The sequence below is a fragment of the Homo sapiens genome, chromosome 8 (assembly GCF_000001405.40).
Source record: "Homo sapiens chromosome 8, GRCh38.p14 Primary Assembly".
NCBI classification, from domain to species: domain Eukaryota; kingdom Metazoa; phylum Chordata; class Mammalia; order Primates; family Hominidae; genus Homo; species Homo sapiens.
Window position 1 is genome coordinate 23,759,742 of NC_000008.11, and position 19,581 is coordinate 23,779,322.

General features: G+C 45.0%; 1 long non-coding RNA gene across 1 annotated transcript in view, besides 2 other annotated features; it reads left to right on the plus strand.

The window, feature by feature from the left end:
* The window catches only part of LOC107986930 (uncharacterized), a 139,865-nt gene that overhangs the window by 96,664 nt on the left and 23,620 nt on the right, over positions 1-19,581 (plus strand). The gene's annotated exons all lie outside the window — the stretch shown is intronic.
* Positions 1,342-2,541: an enhancer, noted in NCBI's record as "BRD4-independent group 4 enhancer chr8:23618596-23619795 (GRCh37/hg19 assembly coordinates)". NCBI's record gives its function as "activates an origin of replication core promoter dependent on BRD2, P300/CBP, MED14 and CDK7 cofactors, and independent of BRD4, by STARR-seq in HCT116 cells {active_cell/tissue: HCT116}" and the evidence as "EXISTENCE:reporter gene assay evidence [ECO:0000049][PMID:35650434]".
* Positions 1,835-2,129: an enhancer, noted in NCBI's record as "tiled region #6499; HepG2 Activating non-DNase unmatched - State 22:ReprW, and K562 Activating non-DNase unmatched - State 23:Low". NCBI's record gives its function as "activates a minimal TATA promoter and a strong SV40 promoter by Sharpr-MPRA in HepG2 and K562 cells {active_cell/tissue: HepG2 | K562}" and the evidence as "EXISTENCE:reporter gene assay evidence [ECO:0000049][PMID:27701403]".

Here is a 19,581-nt window from a genome sequence, read left to right on the forward strand (position 1 = left end):
GACCCAAGGGAGATGTTTCCTTTTCTTCCCTTTCCTTCTCCTTATGCTTGTCCCATTGAACCCCTTTTAATGCCCAGTGATTCAAAGGTGGCTCTTTCCTCCAGTCTTCCCTCCACTTTAGCCACCATCTCAACTCTACCCCAATAAGGAATGGGTGGACCAAGGTACCAGGTGCTGGAGCAGGCTAGAGAGCTGAGGGACACATGATGCTACCAGGGGGAGCCAATGTGATACCCCAGAACCAGGACATTCCCAGACTCACTGGACAAACTTTTCATCAGTCCCTTCCAAAGATAAGACTTTGGATATAATGCTTCATTTTCCTGTTCCCTCTACAGTGACTTTTGGGGCACACATGCTCAGGTAGCCATTTAGTTTCACAGAAACTTGAGTTTCCATGAAAAAAAAAATCCCAGAGAACCAAATAGTTGCCTATTGGGTTAGCTGCAGATTGGCTGTCTTGTTGGATAAATTGGCTGACGTGGGTTTGCTCACATAGAAGGCTGGCTAAACATGGTGGTGGTTTGGTTTCCCCTAGAGGAGATGGCCAGAGAGACAAATGTGGGCAAACACAAGGGCCTGGCACCATCTATGCTGGTGGACTTGATGTGCTGTGCTCTATGCATCTACCAATTTTCACAAAATTGACAACTGGGGCTGCAGGTTTCATCCTGAGCTTCTGCAAAGAGAGCACACTGGGAGCAGGCTGCCGCACGTGGAATGTCAATTACATTCCAAGAACTTCCCAATGGGTCGCCCATATTCTGTCTGCTAGGGCTCTCCCACCTGGGGGGTCCTGGGGTGGGCGATAAGCCTGTGCAACCAGAGTGACTTCTAAAGAGAGAATTCTTGGGATGGAGGAGCTTGATGTGGTGTGTCTGTGTCCTCACTGAAATCTCACCTTGAATTGTAATAATCCCCACGTGTCAAGGGTGGGGCCAAGTGGAGATAATTGAATTATGAGGACAGTTTCCCCCATACTGTTCTTGTGGTAGTGAATACATCTCATGAGATCTAATGGTTTTATAAAGGGTAGTTCCCCTGCACACGCTCTCTTGCCTGCCATCATGTAAGACGTCTCTTTGCTCTTCCTTTGTCTTCTGCCTTGTTTGTGAGGCCTCCCCAGCCATGTGGAATTGTGAGTCCATTAAACCTCTTTCCTTTATAAATTAGCCAGTCTCAGGTGTGTCTTTATTAGCGTGAGAACAAACTAATACAGAGTTCATTGCTATGGTGGAGGGAAAGTTTGGGGGACCCTGGCAAAGAGAGAGCTGGGGCTGTGTTTTTGCTTGGCAGAGGGGGCATGCTCACCTGGCCGAGGTTCCAACTTTGGGAAAGGAAGATCTTTTTGCCCTCAGTTTTTGCCTGATTCTGTAGTCACAATAGACCTAGTTCTGTCTGTGCTCTGACCTCCCTCCAGAATTGCTGGATGTTCTGGTGACATTTGGGATGCTCTGCTGCACATTCTTGGGTCTCTCTGTCCTCACTCTGAGCCAGAATGCTGGCTGCTCACTGTGCCACCTCCAACCCCTTTTACCCATTCCCCCCAGTGGTGAAATGGGGGTGGCGGGGGCCACTCCTGTGCTCCAGGAGCAGGTGAGGAGTTCACAAGCTTAGGATTCTGGTTTCTTCCACTGACTGTTCAGAGGATTCCCACCTCCAGCACATTGGCTTCTGCAGGACTGAGGGCACCTGCCTGCTCATCTGGCTCCTGTCCTTGGTCAGGGTGACTCAAAATGAGCTCTGCTAGGTTCTCTCTTCTCCACCAGAGCCAGAGGCTGACAGAGAGGAAGGCTGTCGGAGGTGCTGCCCCTATGACAGTGGAGGAATGGGGGCTGGGGATGTGGGGATATGAGCAAAGACACGCAGGAGATTCACTGTCCTATCCCTTTGATTGTTTTCTTCCCCTCTTTTCCACTCCCATACGACCACACTCATCAAAATAGGAAACGATGTCATCACTTATGTGCATGCCTCCCCTTCGTGCGTTGCTCTGGGTCACCACTTCCTGTTTCTGAGTCATCAGGAAGGTAATTTCCCCCAATGCTCAATATCCTCCAGGACACTGTGATCACTCAGCATCTACCCAGCTTCCCCTCCTCTATCCCTTCCATAAAAACATACCGAAAAGACCACCCCCGGCACCACTGCAAAAAAGACCTAAACTAAACACTGTGCAGCTGTTGGTCTGAGTGGCTGCAAGCTCACAAAATGCATGGGGACCACAGCCCCCAGCCCTATCTGGAAGGACGGCTGATTGCCTGGATTTAATTGGATAGTTAAATACAGATGAAGATGATTCTGGAGTACAGATTAGTCCTGGTGCAACAAGATCTGTCAGAGACTCTGCCTACTAAGGGAAGTGGGGTATTTGGCTGCCCCCTAAAATAAAGAATGAATCAAACTGCCAGAACAAGACACCCCAGGAGGCATGAGATGGCACTGGAAGGATTTGTGTTAGAGTCAACTGAAGCAAAACTTTGAGGAGCTAGTCCTGTAGACAGCCCCTCACTGCATTTTTCCTTCCTTCTCCTCCTTTTCATCCTCCTTCCCCTCCTTTTCATCCTCCTTCCCCTTTTCCTTCCTCCCCTCTTTCTTTTTCTTTCATTCCTTTTTAAGTCATGCACTACACTTTCTGTCTGCCTTTCTTTTTTTTTTAATCTGATGTTCACAAGAGGGAAGTGACTGATGATAGGAACTAAGTGCTTGGGGCTCAGTAATTCATTCAACAAACAGTTATCAAGTATCTACCATGTGGCAAGCTCTTTGCTAGATACTGGAGCTCTGAGATGTATAAGATACCTTTCTGGCTTCCAAGAAGCTCACAGTTGATGGAGTGTCATGTAAATTAATAACTGATATAGAGTGTGGAAAATCACATCATGGAGGTGACTCAGGGATTGTGAGAACACGGAGAACAGACCACATGGCACAACTGGGTGATGGTGGAAGATTCTGGAAGAGCAGTCACCGGAGCAGAGGCTTACAAGGTGGAGTAATTACTAGGGCACTGTCTGAATAAGGTGTTTGATTGCTGGAGGGTGAAGAAGGAATGGAAACTGAAGAAACAGGAAAGGGTGTATAGGTTGACATTTTTGAGGAGCTTGACAATGGAAAACCAGAGGATGAGAGGCAACAGATGTAGGGTTCAGTTGTTTCATTGAAGGGACATGTATTGTGAGCGTATGTATGTGACAGGTGCTGACCAGGCACCAAGTACCCGAAAGTGGATGAAATTGTGCCCGCAGCCTTAATGTTCTATTGGGAAACACAAACAGACACATAATAGGCATTTTAAGTAAAATGTGAGAAGTGCTATGATAGAGCTACCGACAGAGCTCAGGGCAGCATCTAGTGAAGCCTGGGTGTTCAGGGAAGGCTTCCTGGAGAGAGGCTTCTTAGCGATTTCATTTTTGAAACTGGTTTTTACTTTTATGTGAAGTTTTAAAAAGTGATCAAATATACGTAACATAAAATTTACGTTTTTAACCATTTTTTAGTGTACAGTTCAGTGGCAATAAAAACATTCACATTATTGTGTGACCACCACCACCACCATCATCCATCTACAGAACTTTGTCATCTTTCCAAATGGAAAGTCTGTGCCCATTAAACACAAACTCCCATTTCCCCATCCCCCAGACCCTGGTGGCCCTGTTCTGCTTTGTGTCTCTGTGAGTTTGACTCTTCTAGGTGCCTCATACAAATGGAATCATACGGTATGTCTTTTTGTGACTCTTATTTCACATGGCATCCTGTCACAATGCGTCAGGATTTCCTTCCTTTTTAAAATTTGTTTATTTTTTGAGACAAGGTCATTACTCTGTTGTCCAGGATAGAGTGCAGTGGCATGATCATGGCTCACTGCAGCCTCGACCTCCCCAGGTTCAGCTGATCCTCCTGTCTCAGCTTCCTGAGTAGCTGGGACTACTGGAGTATGTCACCATGCCCAGCTAATTTTTAAATTTTTTTGTAGGAATTTTTTTTTTTTTGAGATTCAGTCTCACTCTGTCGCCCAGGCTGGGGTACAGTGGTGCTCTCTTGGTTCACTGATTCCTCGCCCCCCACCCCAGGTTCAAGTGATTCTCCTGCCTCAGCCTCCTGAGTAGCTGGGACTACAGGTGCCCACCACCACGTCCAGCTAATTTTTGTATTTTTAGTAGAGACAGGATTTCACCCTGTTGGCCAGGCTGGTCTCAAACTTCTGACCTCCAGTGATCCGCCCACCTCGGCCTCCCAAAGTGCTGGGATTACAAGTGTGAGCCACCACACTTGGCCTGGATTTCCTTCCTTTTTAAAGCTGAATAATATTTCACTGTATGTATAGACCTCATTTATCCGTTCATCTGACATGGACACTTGGGATGTTAAATGATATTTTTGAGTACAACATGGGCAAGGTTAGGGGCTGAAAGAGTTAAGTGGGATTCGAAACTAGAGCAGCAACAGGAACCAAGGCTCAGGAGGGCATTTTTGGTGGCCCTGCCTGGGTGAAGGAAGGGGCATGCATTCCACTGAGGTTGGCACAGAAAAGCTAGGAGTGGATTGGGAGGACATAGGTAGGCTGTGGGTAAGGACATGGGACCCTGAGGCGGGTCCTGTCCCAGAGCCTTCGTTTTCTTGGCAGATGCAGGAGGGAGGCTGGACGGAAGAGAGGCCTGGTGGCAACAGGGCAGCTGCAGCATGAAGATCCAGGTTTGGGGTCCACGCAGGGACCATGAGCAGCACCCTCTGCTGGAGCAACTGGGGGAGCTGAGAGTGCCTGCAGGTGGACACCTGGCCTCACTGCGCATGACTTCCTCCTGCAGCTCCCAGGGGCTCCCACTGTATTCATAGTTCCTCCTTTTGTTTGCCCTGTCCTCTGAGCTGTTATTCAACAGCTAGAATTGTGCAGCATTAAAACCAGTGCCACAGAGAACTTTAAACAGAGACAGATCCAAATACGTCCTTCCTGAGAGCCAATCTCCCTGGGAGCACCTCATTGCCTCTCTTCTGGAGCCCAGCAGCTTAGCCCAGCTTGCACCTGTGACATATGACTTAACTACAGCTGGTAGCCCTTGTGGACCAGAGCACGCCTTTGAGGAGACAGATGATGGTGGATTGGGCAGCCTATTGAGCAGCTCTGAGACTTGGTGTCTCCATCTACCAAGAGGAAATGATGATGGAGCCGTGGGGACACACGTGAGAGCAACACAGGTGAAGTGCAGAACAGGAATCCCAGGCACCGCTAAGGGTTCGGTGTGTTGGCTGCTTGGGTCCCATCATAGGGCTTAGTTGTTAGCTGACTGCTCTCCTCTCATCGTCACGCTCCAGCCTTATGCACTGGAGTTGCCCCCGTCCACTTAATCTTAATCCCTTTCTAATCAGCCCATGGCGGTGAGAAGATATCGAGTGTCAGCAACCTGGTCTGGTGAGTGCCCCTCCCCGTTCTGTGTGAGGCTTCTGGGCACAGCAGCCCTGATACAATTTCACATATTATTTGGGCTCATTTACCGGGGCTATTTTGGAAGCTTGGCTTTGTGAGGCTTCTGGAAGCCTGGCCGGACATTATGCAACTGCTTTGGTCTAGTGTACTGAAGACACTGAATTCTATAGCCAGTGGCCCTAAGCCCGTAGAAAATTTGTGGGGAAAGCTGGTGAAATCGAACTTCTTAGGTTCCTTCCTAGCAGAGAAAGAGAGAATTCGAGTTCAGAGGCTCACTTCTCCTTAGAGAATTCACTGACCTTAGAGAATTCAGCTGTGAGCTGCCGAGGAAAGAAGGGTGGAGAATAGACAGAGGTGGGCTTTCTTGGTCCTGAGTCCTAACACTGGGGACAGGAGATCTCCAGAGGCCATGACTATAGAGGAGAAGGGAAAGGAAAAGGAGGGCACAGGAGGAAAAAGAAAGGAAAGAAGGGTGGGGGTGGGGGCGGGCGGGGGGGGGGAGAAAGAGGGGACTTTGTAGAAAGAAGACATTGCAAAATGTTCAGTAAAGAGCTAATTTTACTTCCCAGCTTCTTCCCAGAGAGGGCTCACTGCACTCTGCCTCCCAGGTTCAAGCGATTCCACTTCCTCAGCCTCCCAAGTAGCTGGGACTACAGGCATGCGCCACTATGCCCAGCTAATTTTTTGTATTGTAGTAGAGATAGGGTTTTACCATGTTGGCAGGATGGTCTCGATCTCCTGACCTCGAGATCTGCCCGTCTCTGCCTCCCAAAGTGCTGGGATTACAGGCGTGAGCCACCGTGCCTGGCCATCATGTTTTTTAATACTTGATTCAGGCCTTTGAGGTAGGTGTTATTTCCATTGTGCAGTTGAGGGGTCTATGTCTTGGAGAGGTTAAGTAACACATTCCATCTTACCTGGCTTTTCAGCAGCAGAGCCAGGTCTCACCACAATTCTGTCTGGTTCTGAAGCCATTACTTATGGTACCTTTTTTTCTTTTCTTTTTTTTTATGGAGTCTCACATTGTCACCCAGGCTGGAATGCAGTGGCAAGATCTTGGCTCACTGCAACCTCTGCCTCCCAGGTTCAAGCGATTCTCCTGCCTTAGCTTCCCAAGTAGCTGGGATTACAGGCATGTACCACCACACCCAGCTAATTTTTGTATTTTTAGTAGAGATGGCGTTTTGCCACGTAGGCCAGGCTGGTCTTGAACTCCTGACCTCTGCTGATCTGCCAGCCTCGGCCTCCCAAAATGTTGGGATTACAGGCATGAGCCACCATGCCTGGCCTCCTTATGGTACTTTATGCAACCAAAATGTTCTGTCGATTCCATCCCCAAAATATGCCCTGGTGCTCTTCACTTCCCTTTATGACCACAGATGTATCCAGGCTTGGTTGCCATCATCTTGTACCTGGCAACTTGCAATAGTTTCTTAACTGATCTCTCTCTTCCTGCTTTTGTCTCTCTTCAATGCGTTCTCCACAGAGCTGCTAGAGAAATCATCTTAAGAGGTAAATTGGCTCATGTCAGACCTACACATAAAACTTCACAAGCTTTCAAAGGTACCATAAGGAATGGCTTCAGAACCAGGCAGAATTGTTGTGAGACCTGGCTCTGCTGCTGAAAAGCCAGGTAAGATGGAATGTGTTACTTAACCTTTCCAAATGCTTTCCAACACACTTGGACTAAAATCCAGACTTCTCTCCATGGCCCACAGGATCTGTAAGAGTTAGCTCCCTTTCTTGGAGGGTCTCAAATGCATTCTTGAGCCTTGTTGGTACTGCTGGCTCCTTTACTCAGCATGCTGCAGCCACACTGGGCATTTGGTTCTTTTCTGCCTCAGGACCTTAGCACATGCTGCCATTTTAGAAAGGGATGATACTCCCTCCAGTATTCATCTGGATAATTCTTTTTCATCCTTTGGGTCCCAGCTTAAAAAACCATTTCCTTATAGAGTAGAGACCTCTGAACGCCTAACCTAAATTAAACCTTCCCTGTGCTTGGAGTTTCCTGGTAAGCCAAGAAGGAAACATGGTCCATTACAGAGATCTCATTGTCAGAAATGAGAGAGAATCCTAGTTCTTCATGATAAGAGTTTCCTCTGGCACAGAATTTGTAAAGAAATTTCCTGCATGGGGCCTTCTATAGGAATCATAGGCCAATGTAAAGGACAGATTGTCCTCAACAAAAACCACATGGTTCAGAGTGGACTGGTTAGATAGAAAATACTGAAAGGTCTCAGAGGTCCCTGTTGGAGGAGTTGACCAGGGAAGGCTTCACAGAAGAGGCAAGAACTTGGTCACGCGGAGGGGAAGTATTTGGAATAGCTTGAGAAGAAGACAGCATGAGTAGGGCTTGATTAAGCATAGGAATTGAAGCACATAAAAGACCATAACACATTGCCCAGTGTGTGATGGGTGCACAGTTTATCTTAGTTTAGTTTCTTCTAGTCCCTGAAGGAAGGTTACCATTTGTCGGCATAATCCATGCCTTGACTGCGGTAACTAGTGCAGCTTTTAGGCCAATCCACAAAGAGGCTAATCCCTGCCCACTTTCTGTGTCCACTTACCCTTTTTCCACCCAAAAATCTTAGCAACTCTGCCCCACAGGGCTGGTACCAGGGCATGGTAAGCCAGGCACCGAGAGTGCTTGTTGGGTGATCCTGAGAGAGCACCTGCTTTGATGTTGCACCCTAACTGCAACTCAGTCCTGGGACCCTAACTCACGCTGGCCAGTGTCTGACCTTAGCCCATCGGGTCATCATCCATTTGTGCTGAAAGGAGCCACAGGAAACTTGCAGCAAGTGTGTGGGGAAGGAAGTAGGAAGAGTGGCGCTAGAAAGAGACGAGGTTCTAGTCACATTCGTTCAAATACCCTTTCCAAAAACATCTGACTTAGTTTCTTTACATTGTCAGGGAAGCTTTTAAAAACCAGCTGCCTCTTATTAATGCTGTTTGGGCTGATCCTCTTCCCGCCAGCCTTGCTCTCGGGCTGTGCCAGCATAAACGGCCCGGTGGAAGTGGAGGACATGCCGAGTGACGTCAGTGGCTGGGTCTGAGCTTCAGATCTTAGCCCAGGCAGCTGAGAACACAGCGCCTTGGTCCTCTTCCAGGGGGAATATAAAATACTCTATGCACTGCCTGAGAAGGCCGGCTAAGCTTGTGGGGACCAGAAGACGGAAGGGCCTCCAGAGCCAACCCCAGCAGCAGAACTGGCTTTGCATGAAAGAAAGGCAGAGGTTGCCAACAATTTGTGACTTAAGAGGCGGCCAGTGGTCCCCAGGGCCATATGTCTCTATTAGGGGAAAGGAGCATGGGTTTTGGGGGTCACAGTGCTCTTGAGTATGAATGCAGACATTTGCTAGTTGTATGACCTTGAGCAAGCTACCTATTAGTTTGGTGCAAAACCAACTGTGGTCTTTGCCATTGCTTCTCATGGTAAAAATCACAATTACTTTTGCACCAACCCAATAGTATCTCTGAGCAGTGTTTCCTCAACTGTATGATGGATGTGAGTAATGATACCAGTAGCCATCTAAGAAGGTTGTTGGGATTACAATGTTTCTTTATGTGAAGGGCCCAAGACAGATGGAATCCGGTACATAACAGATGTTCAAGAAAACTTTCCCTCCCTCCCTCCTTCCCTTCCCTCTCCTTCCTTTCTCTTCCCCCCGCCCACCACCTTCCCTCTTTCCCTCTTTCTCCTTTGGAGAAAGCTAACACTCAGCTGCCTGTGAGGTTGGCATGGGGGTAAAATCAAGAAGGAAGAAACCCATTCTTGTTGTGAAAACTCTGAGAAGCTTGAAATCAGAGGCATCAGGTACCGCTGAAGGTGGAGGCATTGGGAAAGGGCAAAAAGCAGGCTGCAGGAACATTTGCATAAGGAACCATTTAGATACCCATATTTTCTCTCCCATCTTCAGGCAACGAGGCAACTTCCCCTGTACCTGCCATTCCCCCTGCCACACCCCATGCCTGGAGATTAATTCTGGCACTCAGGTAATGTGCTGGAAGCAGGGTCACTAAGTGACACTTTGCATGCTGAACAGGAAGTTTCCCTTGGCCTCTTCTGCTTTAGAGCCCACTCAACATAGGCAGCCATAGGTGAGGAGATTGGCCTCCCCAAACACAGGGCCTAGCAGAATAGATGGATCCTTTCTTAAACTCTGGAGAAGCTCACGAGGCAGTAGCCTCTGCCCATGCATGATGAACTTCTTATAAATGTAGTGCCTAATCATTAAGTATGAAGAGAAGCCAGGAATCACCAAAAAACTGAGGCAGATTATAAGTGTACATGGAGATCCTGACAGATAAATGAATGGAAGAAAGGAGTAGAGACAACGTAGGGGGCATAAAAAAGTTCAAAATATAATGATTAATACTATTCATATGATAAGAGGAAATATATCTATGAAATAAGAATGGGATTTTATGTAAAGAAGCATTCAGAGAACAGGAAAGGGCTTTTGAAAAATAAATATGATAGTAGAATTTTTTTTTAATAAACAGGGTCTCACTGTGTTGCCCAGGCTGGAGTGCAGTGGCACAATCACAGTTCACCTCAGCCTAAACCTCCTGGGATTAAGCGATCCTCCCACCTCAGCCTCCCGAGTAGCTGGGACTACAGGCATGCACTGCCATGCCTGGCTAATTATTATTATTATTTGTGTTCTCTTTGGCAGCACATATACTAATTATTATTTTTTTAAATTTTGTAGGGACAGGATTTTACTATGTTGCCCAGGCTGGTCTTGAACTCCTGGACTCAAGCAATCCTCCCACCTTGGCTTCCCAAAGTGCTGAGATTATAGGCATGAGCCACCATGCCTGGCAGATTGTAGAAATTTTAAAGGCCAATAGATAATGCTGAGGAAAGGTAATGTCTCAGAAGTAGAAAGAAGGATAAAGTGATGGAAAGTAGAAAAGATGAGAAAATCAGTCCAAAAGCTCAAACATCTGACCAGTAAGAGCCCAGAAGGAGAAAATGGAAAGTAGAAGGGGTTAGTTATCAAATAAATGAGAACAAAGTTTTCAAGTCTTCTGAAGACCTGGGTTTCCAAACTGAAAGAGCAAGTGAGTGCCTAGCATAATAGATGAAAAACAATTCACACATAAAGTACATCATGGTGAAATATCAGGACTCGAATGATAAAGAGTAGTTTGTAAAAGCTACCAGAGAGGAACAGGTTATATACTAGGGACCAAGAATCAGAATATCATACACATCTCTACAGTTTGGAAATGGTGCAGCAGTGCCTTCAACATTCTGAGGGAAAATGATTTCCAACCTAGAGTCCTAGTCCTAACAAAATGACCATTCAAGAGTGAGAGTAGACTTGCAAGATCTCAAAAGATGTTCTTTCCCTGCACTTGTTTTCAGAAAGCTACTGTAGGATGCAATCCACCGAAACAAGGATATAAACCAAGAAATAGAAAGACTTAGAATCTAGGAATCGGGGTCTCTAAAACTGGGAGAAGCAAAGAAAAAATTAACAGATGGTAGCAAAGGAAAACCTCAGTATGACAGCTGGACAGTCAGCCTAGGCAGTAATCCTTCCATATGGAACTGATGATGGAGGGATTATAGGAGACACAAATATTAAGCGGTGGATTCCCTCGTGTGTTTTACTGTATTGAGAAGAGTTTTACTGTTCTTTTGGAAAGTGTGGGACTGAACAGGGAAAGAAAGATTAGGAAAAAATATGTAAAAACAAAATGTGTACAAGGAAAAACATAGTACACTAAATGTATGATATATATATATATATAGACATATCCATGTGAATATTGATTGATAATTTAACCACTAATTATGGTATAACAATATGGGGAGGATGAAGGAAGGGGGAAAGGGATGTTTGTATGTCTGATGGGAGATGGTGAGCAGTTGGTAGAGAGAGCTTGATCCTCATCTTCCATGCTAGGGAAATATAATATTTAAATATAAAAAGTTAAAGTATAATGTACATATGTTATTTAGAAAAACAAGGATTATGGAAAAATATCTTTAAAATTTGTTAAGCCTTGCAGCATTATTTAACTTCAAAAGCTATGCTTATGCATTCCTTTGATTTAAAAAATGAATGAAAAGTATTTCTTGCACAGCTTGGCTATGCAGAGCACCATCTAGAAGTGGGATCTTGAGTCACAGTAACTATTTTCTTTTTTTAAAGTTGAGAGGGGCTTAAATGCAATTGTAAGCTAAAATCTGAGGGAAGATAGAGATAGAAGATACAGAAAAAGAGGGAGAATTAATGTTTCAGGGATGGTCTCTAAAGCAAAAGTGGATGGAAGAATGAACTTTAGAACACTGTTTGGAGAAGAAGCGGTAGGTACAGAAACACTTAGGAAGCCGAGGGAGATCTTGCCTGAGGCATCCTGTTTTTGGTGAAATAAGAGGCAAGTACCTTATTCAGAGTGGAGATGTTGTTATGGAGAGGGTTTGAAAAGAGTATTAAAGTTGGAATCATTACTGCAGAGACTGGGGAAAGAGAGCTGACTCAGGTATATAACAGGATATCTTGGCAGACCTGAGGGTTTGGCTGAGAATGGAATCTATATATTGGGAATGTCGAATCTCCCCAGCTGTAATGTTTCTTTAGTAAGTCCTGTAATCCTGGGGAACATGGATAGTTGGGATCCTGGGAGCTTGAGGGACCAGCGTAGCTCAGGGCAGGACAAGGGAGTTGAGAGTGATGGGGAGAAGTGGTTGACATTCTTCCACTTAGGGTCTGGCCTGGACAAGGGTGGAGATGAAGCAGAGGAGGGTGAAGAGCTTTGGAGGAAAGGCTTCAAGGGCCTGGGTGCTCCATGAAGCTGGAGAGTAGGGTAGGAAAAAAGAGGGAGGAAGCTGCAAGGATGGGATGTTTTCACTGGAGGTGGGCTCCAGGGTCCAAGAGGCTAATATTTTGCTAGTGGAGCAGTTGACCTTGGGACAATGAAACCAGGGTGCTGGAAGCGTTGTCCACAGGATGCCAGCAGTGCTTAAGGTGAGGAAGAAGCTAGTGATTCAGTTGCCGAAGTTTGATGACCATAATGGGATTTACTGGGAGGTCAGGACATGAATACTGTGAGAAGAGTCAGTGAGTGGTAGAGCCAGACAGCATGGGGGCCAATAGGGAGGGACTTTCAATGTGACTATGAAGATCTGGGAGAATATTCCAGCTCTAGTATATGGGGCACAGGAATGCATGCAGTCCCCGTTCTAGAGAGCTACAAAGGAAAGCAGTGATGCTGGGGAAGGGTGAGCTTTAGTCAAGGCAAGCTGATGGAGAGAGTCTCTTTCAGTAGCATACATGGGGTTTTGAGTCAGCAGGGAGGCAGAGGAGCATGGGCCAAGGTCAAAGAGGAGAGGGTGAGAGCCCTGGAATTAACTGGTTTTGAGAGCCCTGGAATTAACTGGTTTTAAAAGCTTTGAGGCTGAAACATTTTCTTTTATTGGAAGAGAAATAAAGCTACAAAAGCAGTAGGGAGAAGGGTAAGGCGTGGTACATGGACTAATCTAGCCCCTAGGAGCACCCAAAATGCAAAACAAGCAAATAAGCCCCACAGGTGCCAGGGAACATGGAGATGCCTGTGCCATTGAACTAGCTGGAGTCCTACCAATTGTCCCAATTTAATACTTCTTTATAGGACAACCCAAAACTAGCAGGGTCTGCTTAGCATGATGAAGCTCAACTTATTTGAGTGCAAGGTGCTTCTAAGAATCTTGTCTTTCTCCAGGACTAAAATCACATTGGGAGTTGTAGGACAGTATCTTGAGTGGGACTCTCAGAACTGCCCCAGATTGAGCTTCTTAAAGTTACTCTTTGTCTGCCACTAGATGCATCTTCTAGGCTTTCTCACAACTTTGCTTGGCTGCAAAATCCCCAAATAAGCCAACGTTGAATTTTGTCTCCCCACAAACCATCATTCCGTTTCCTGACTCCTGCTGGAGATAACCACACAACTCTGTGGATTAACATCACTACAAAGGCCTGAAGGCTTGCTTTCTACTTTGTCAAGAAAAATGGAAACCAAAGGGCATGATTTTCTTCAATATATTTAAATCTTCCCAGAATCTTTTCCAATGTACCTGCAGCTCTGGTTTCCTTGCTGTTTTCTGCCGTCTCAGGGTGCACCTGTGCTCCGTGCCCATGGCCACCTGCTTTGCTGCTTTGCCTGTGCTTTTGACCACAGCTCCTATCACTTTGATACATTAACCTACCCCTCCATCTCTTTCCCTACCTTGGCCAATATCCTTGATCTTTCTGTCTCCTTGCAGTTCCTTCCTCTCAGTCTGTAAACATGGTTACTTCCTTCCCATCCTAATAATACGGATGTTCCCCTGACTCTCCTTTGACCTTGAAACCCCCTTAACCGCTTCGCAAACCATGACTGACACTGCTTTTTTGATGTCACAGCATCTCCCTAATAGCCATATCTGAAGGATTTTTTTTTGTACTGAGTTTTCTCTAGCTTTCCTCCGAATCTAATACTATGAATGACTTTCACCTTCTGAAAATGTTATACACTGGCTTCCAGAACTCCTTAGTCTCCTGATTTTTCTAGTTCCTTTCCAACCATTTATTAACACTTCCTTCAGGAGCTCCCTACCTTCTGTCCAGCTTTTTTTTTTTTTTCTTTTGAGACAGGATCTCACCCCATCACCCAGGCTGGAGTGCAGTGGCATGATCATGGCTCACTGCCACCTCAGCTTTTGGGGCTCAGGTGATTCTCTGACTTCAGCCTCCCAAGTAGCTGGGACTATAGGTGCGTGCCACCACACCTGGCTGATTTTTTGTATTTTTTCTAGAGACACGGTTTCACCATGCTGTTAAGTCTGGCCTTGAACTCCTAGGAAGAAGCAATCCACCTTGGCCTCCCAAAGTGTTGGGATTACAGGCATGAGCCACTGCATGTGGCCTTCTGCCCAACTTTTCACTGTTTGTGTTCTCTTGGGTCCTCTCCTTAGCCCATGGTCCTCCATCCTGGAAGAACTCATCGAAACCCATGACCTCAATTACGACCTACATGCTGGCAGCTTCCGGGTCTCCATGGGGACCCCCAGACATGTATATTCAGCTGCCTCCTAGACATCCTACTCAAGGTCCCACAGACACCTCAGCCCAATGTCTCCAACACTGGACTCACTCTCTCCTTAAACCAGCTCTGTTTCTGGTGATTTGAATGCCACATGCACCACCGAATGCCACCCCCCACCCGCCTATCTGCAATATCTATATCACCACCAAGACCTGCCAACTTTTCTTTCTAATTTTTAGATTTGTCTCTTATCTCCATTCCTATTAAAAACATTCTGTTTGAGTCTTTATTACTTTTCACCTTACTATTGTCAGTCTCCTGACTTATCTCTGCCTCTAATCTTGTTCCTATTCAATCTACCCTTCACACATCTGCCACGATGATGTGTTTAAAATGCTGATCTGATCACATCACTCCCCTTTCTTAAACTCCTCCAAAAGCTCCATGCTGTCTATAGGAGAAAGTTCAGACTTCCTAACAGCATGCAAAGCCCAGCACAAACCAGCCTCTCCAGATCTCTCTGCCTCCTCTGCCCTTTCTTCCTGCCTGCCCGTCTCACGTTTATGCTCTAACAACACTGGTGGCCTCAGCATTCTCAGCTCCTGCTGGGCTCCAGCTTACATCACTCTTCTGCTTAGATGGTCCTCTTGGTGAAGATGGTGCCTTTCCTCTTCCTGCCCTTTCTTTGACTATTTCATACTCACCCTTTAGGACCCAGGTCAGGTGAAACCTCCTCTGGGAAGCCTTCCTGGAGCCCTTAAACAGCTTCTGCTCAGAGTCCTCCAAAGTCTGCCAACACATGAGCACTGTGATGTAATGAAAAGAATAAGGACTGTAGAGGAAGCATGACCTGGATATAAGAGGCAGCACTGGGGCCTTGGGAAAAGTATTTTCCAATTTTGAGCTGCAGTTTTGCCATTTATGTATTGGGGATAATGATATTTCATTTATGGGGATAGTGGAAGGATGATCTTAAATAATGTACGTGTAGTGTCAGGGCCTATATTAAGTACTCAGTAAATAGCAGTTATTATTGACATCTTCATTGCTGTGTCTATTATAATATTTTTTATAACCCACATGTAGGGGGATCCTCACTTTTCATGCCTTTTAATTCTTGTTCTTAATGCATGAAGGATTACCTGGGAATTTACTGCCTTTTGGACATGGGCTTTTCTAGGCAGCTGTTGCTAATCAATGGTGACTTTGCCTTTAGAGAGGTGCTGATTGAAGGGTAAGAAATGGATGCCTCTCCAGCCTTGGCTCTGCAGCATGATTGAGGAGCAGTTCCTATGTCTTCCTAGAGTTTTTCCAGTCTTCTTCAGACCCAACTCTGACAGTGGAGGAATATGTCATTTTTTGAGGGGCTGTGTAGATGTCAAAAGAACAAAAGAGGGTGAACTGAATGGAGACGATATCTGTATCTAATGTGCTTGTTCCCTTGTGCCTGCCCAGGGAGGGCATTACAAATGGAGGTCTTTGAAAAGTGGACATCTCAGGTGGTGCTCCCTGTTTTCTGATCTGTTTTCTCTTCCTTTTCTCCATTACCTTTCACAGAAAACTCCACGGTTCCCCATACAAAGTGTACGCCCCCAACCCCTGCACCTTACATATCTGAATGCCTCTTGCATTGGCTGAATGTTGATGGGACTTGTCCCAATTTTCATTGCTGCCTGTGGCTGGGTAGAGTTGGACTTTGATTCTCAAAATAAGGATGGAGGTGGGTGCTCTAATTTCAGTGTGATCTCTCTACAAGTTTTAACTAAACTCAAGCTCACCTTATAAAGGCAGGCAACACAGTTGAGGCTTGAGGAAAGACTATTTCTTCTCCTGGTGTGATTGACTCAGCCTATTGCAAAGCAAGAAAACCTATCATTCGTGATGAGTATTCCATTCCACCCTGGTGGCTACCAATGCCCTTAAGCCTCAGCCAGTTGTTAACAGGCTGAGCCATCACACCTAGTTAATTTTTCAAAAAATGTTTCGTAGCGATGGGGTTTTCGTATCTTGTTCAGGCTGGTCTCGAACTCCTGGCCTCAAGTGATTCTCTCTCAGCCTCCCAAAGTGTTGGGATTACACGTATGAGCCACCATGCCTGGCCCAGTAACAGGTTTAATTAGATTTCTCATAGTTTTAAAATATCCTTTCCATAGGATGGGGGAGGAGAAGTCCTACTTCATTTTGACACAATTATCTGTTAATGTGCCTGTATTGCAGAGTAGCCTGTGGGTTTCTTGAGGGTACGGGCCGTGTTTTATTCATCTCAGCTCACTCAGTCTCTCTCACAGTGCCTCTTCATGGAAGGCTTTAATAGATGCTTATTGACTATGTGAATGAATTCCAAAGTTTAATGAGAAGTTTTTTGAACTTTTCTTTCTTTTGTATAAATCTGGAGCCTCAACTTACAAGAAACTTTCCCTAGCTCAGGTCTCCCCTTCCTGGGGGGCTCAGTATCTGTAAGTCAAGTGGGCTTTGGAATTACACATCAGGCCTGTAGAACATTTCAGAAGGTGGTTGGCTATTGATATTCATTAATTAACTCAGCAAGTATTTACTGAGGTCCTGCAATGTGCTTGGAAATGCATTAGGTGCTGGGACCAAAGGAAGGGAACAAGAGAGAGAGAGCGCCCTCCTGGAATTGACAAGTTTGCTCTAAAATCTTAATCTTTAGGCAATAGGGCAAAGTGAGTTTTAATGAAAGGAGGAATATACGGTGTGATTTCAGAGGACTTTTTCCTTGCTCCAGCTTGATATTTAAAACGGACTTTAGAGTTATATTATTTAGCTCTTTAATATATAAAAGAGCTAAATAATATAACTCTTTTATATAACCTGCTGGACAGACAATATCTACTAGTATTTAACACACTTGCAGGAAAAGAGCATTGGAGGGCAGGCTTTGATTTGAGAGGAGAGAAAGACAGTGAAGCCCCCTGGCTACTATGTTTGGAGAAACAGGATGCTCCTAGTGGGGGAAGGGAGAGAATGAAGGACCTGGGGTCCCAGTGACTGATCTAGAGGAGCAGGGCAAGGCAGTACAGAGTTGACAGTCACTGGGTTCTCAGCTCTGCCACTCATGAGTGGGTTAACCTCTGGTAACATCTTCAAAATTCTAAGGGTCTGACATTTTTTCATTTATAACATGGAGATTATGACACCCACTTTTGTAAAGTTATTACTTTTTTCACTTTGACAGTTTGCCTAGATGTGTGTGACTTGTGAGCAGAGGCATTATTCTCTGTTGAAATGCAAACTGTTGAAAAATAGAAAACTATCATTGACCATAGGCACATTGGTAAGAATTGGGGTTTATCAAATAAAAGTGGTCACCTTGGAAAATAAAGGCAAATACCAAGATTATGCCTCTTGGCTAGGCCAGATGTGTATGTTGAGAAGGGAGGATAAGTGTTTTACAGACATGAGCCTGAGTTTATTCCACAGTGAGGGGAGGCTTGAGCAGCTACAGTACATAAGGAGGGAAGGAGGCCTCTGCAAATAGGAAGAAGGCCCAGGGTTTGGGATGGGAACATGAACTCGCTCCTATGCCTCCTTCACAGTATGTTGGGCTCAGTGCATTTCTCTATACACATCTCTTTTTCTGTTTAACATTTTATGAAATCATCATAGGAATATAAGATGCTTCTATGAGAAAGTCTGCATCCATTAAAGGCAACATTTTGCCATAGGGAGATAGAGATAGGAATATATAAAGACAGACAGGGAGGGAGAGAGACAGAGAGAGAAGGGGAAGAAGAAGGGGGAGACAGGGAGGGGAGAGGAGGAAAGGGTAGGGAGGGAAGGGAACAAGAAAAGGAAATGAAAGAAAATAAAAGGAAGGAAAAGAAAAGGAAAGAAAAATATATTTGATGGTCAATGTTATGTCAAGGGCAGTATCCGCTGTCCTGGTCTGATGGCGACGTGAATATCTTGTTCCATTTATGGGTGCCATATTTTAAGAAGGACATTTGTAAATCTCAGTATAACTAGAGTTGTGAGAAGCCATTTGAGAAATTACTTAAAAAAAACAAGGATATTTAACTTGGAGAGGTCTCAGGACCTTCATATGAAAGTTATTTTCAAACATCTGAGGCAGAGTCGTGAGGAGAGGAAGCAGGGGCTTGTCCTCTGTATGTCAGGGAACTCTGGGTGAAGAAGGGTCTGTGAGGGTCAGGGTCTCTTCAGCCAGGATCCTGGAGGTCTGGCATGTTGGGGGCACTTCTGTCTGTGGGAAATTAGGCTAGATGACTCCAAAGTTCTCTTCTGGGTCTAAATAGGTAACCAATTGCTTTGAGTGCAATGAGACTTAGAGCAATCTATTATTAAAAATACTTTAAAATTCAGTTATAAAATACATGTGGATTATAAAATATTTGGGAAGTAAAGAAAAATATAAATGTGTAGGAAATGTATTGTTCATAATCCTACATAATGGTAACAACTACAGCCAGCCCTCTGTATCTGTGGGTTCTGCATCTGCAGATTGAACCAACTGTGGATGGAAAATATTTTTAAAAATCCCAATAAATGACGACAATACAACAATAAAAATAATACAAATAAAAACAACACAATATAACTGCTATTTGTAAAAAACGATACAAATAAACAATGCAGTATAACAATGATCACAATACAGTATAACAAGTATTTAGCATTTACATTGTATTACGTGTTATAAGAAATCTAGAGATGAATTACAGTATAGGAGAGGATGTGCATAGATTTTATGCAATTACTGTGTCATTTTAGATCAGGAACTTGAGCATGGGTGGATTTTAGTATCCAAGGGAGGTCCTGAAACCAATACCTTCAGATAAAGAGGGACGACGGTCCTAATATTTTGGCATGTTTATTTTCAGTATTTCCCTCCACGTTTTAGGAAAAATTGAGAAGCAGATGAAATCTCTGGTGCTTGCTTCTGCCTTCTCCCTTGCTTCTTTTCTGCTCATCCTTCATCCAGTTACTTCATGCTTTTCCTCACCACCTCATCTTAAAACCTGCTCTAGAGAAAAAAAATCAAATGACTTTAAAAAACATGTTGTGAGATTAAGCCTGTGTGCCATTTCTACCAAAAATATCTGCCTCCTAATCCTTATACTTGATCATAGAAATAGAGGTTTTTTTCAGTTGAG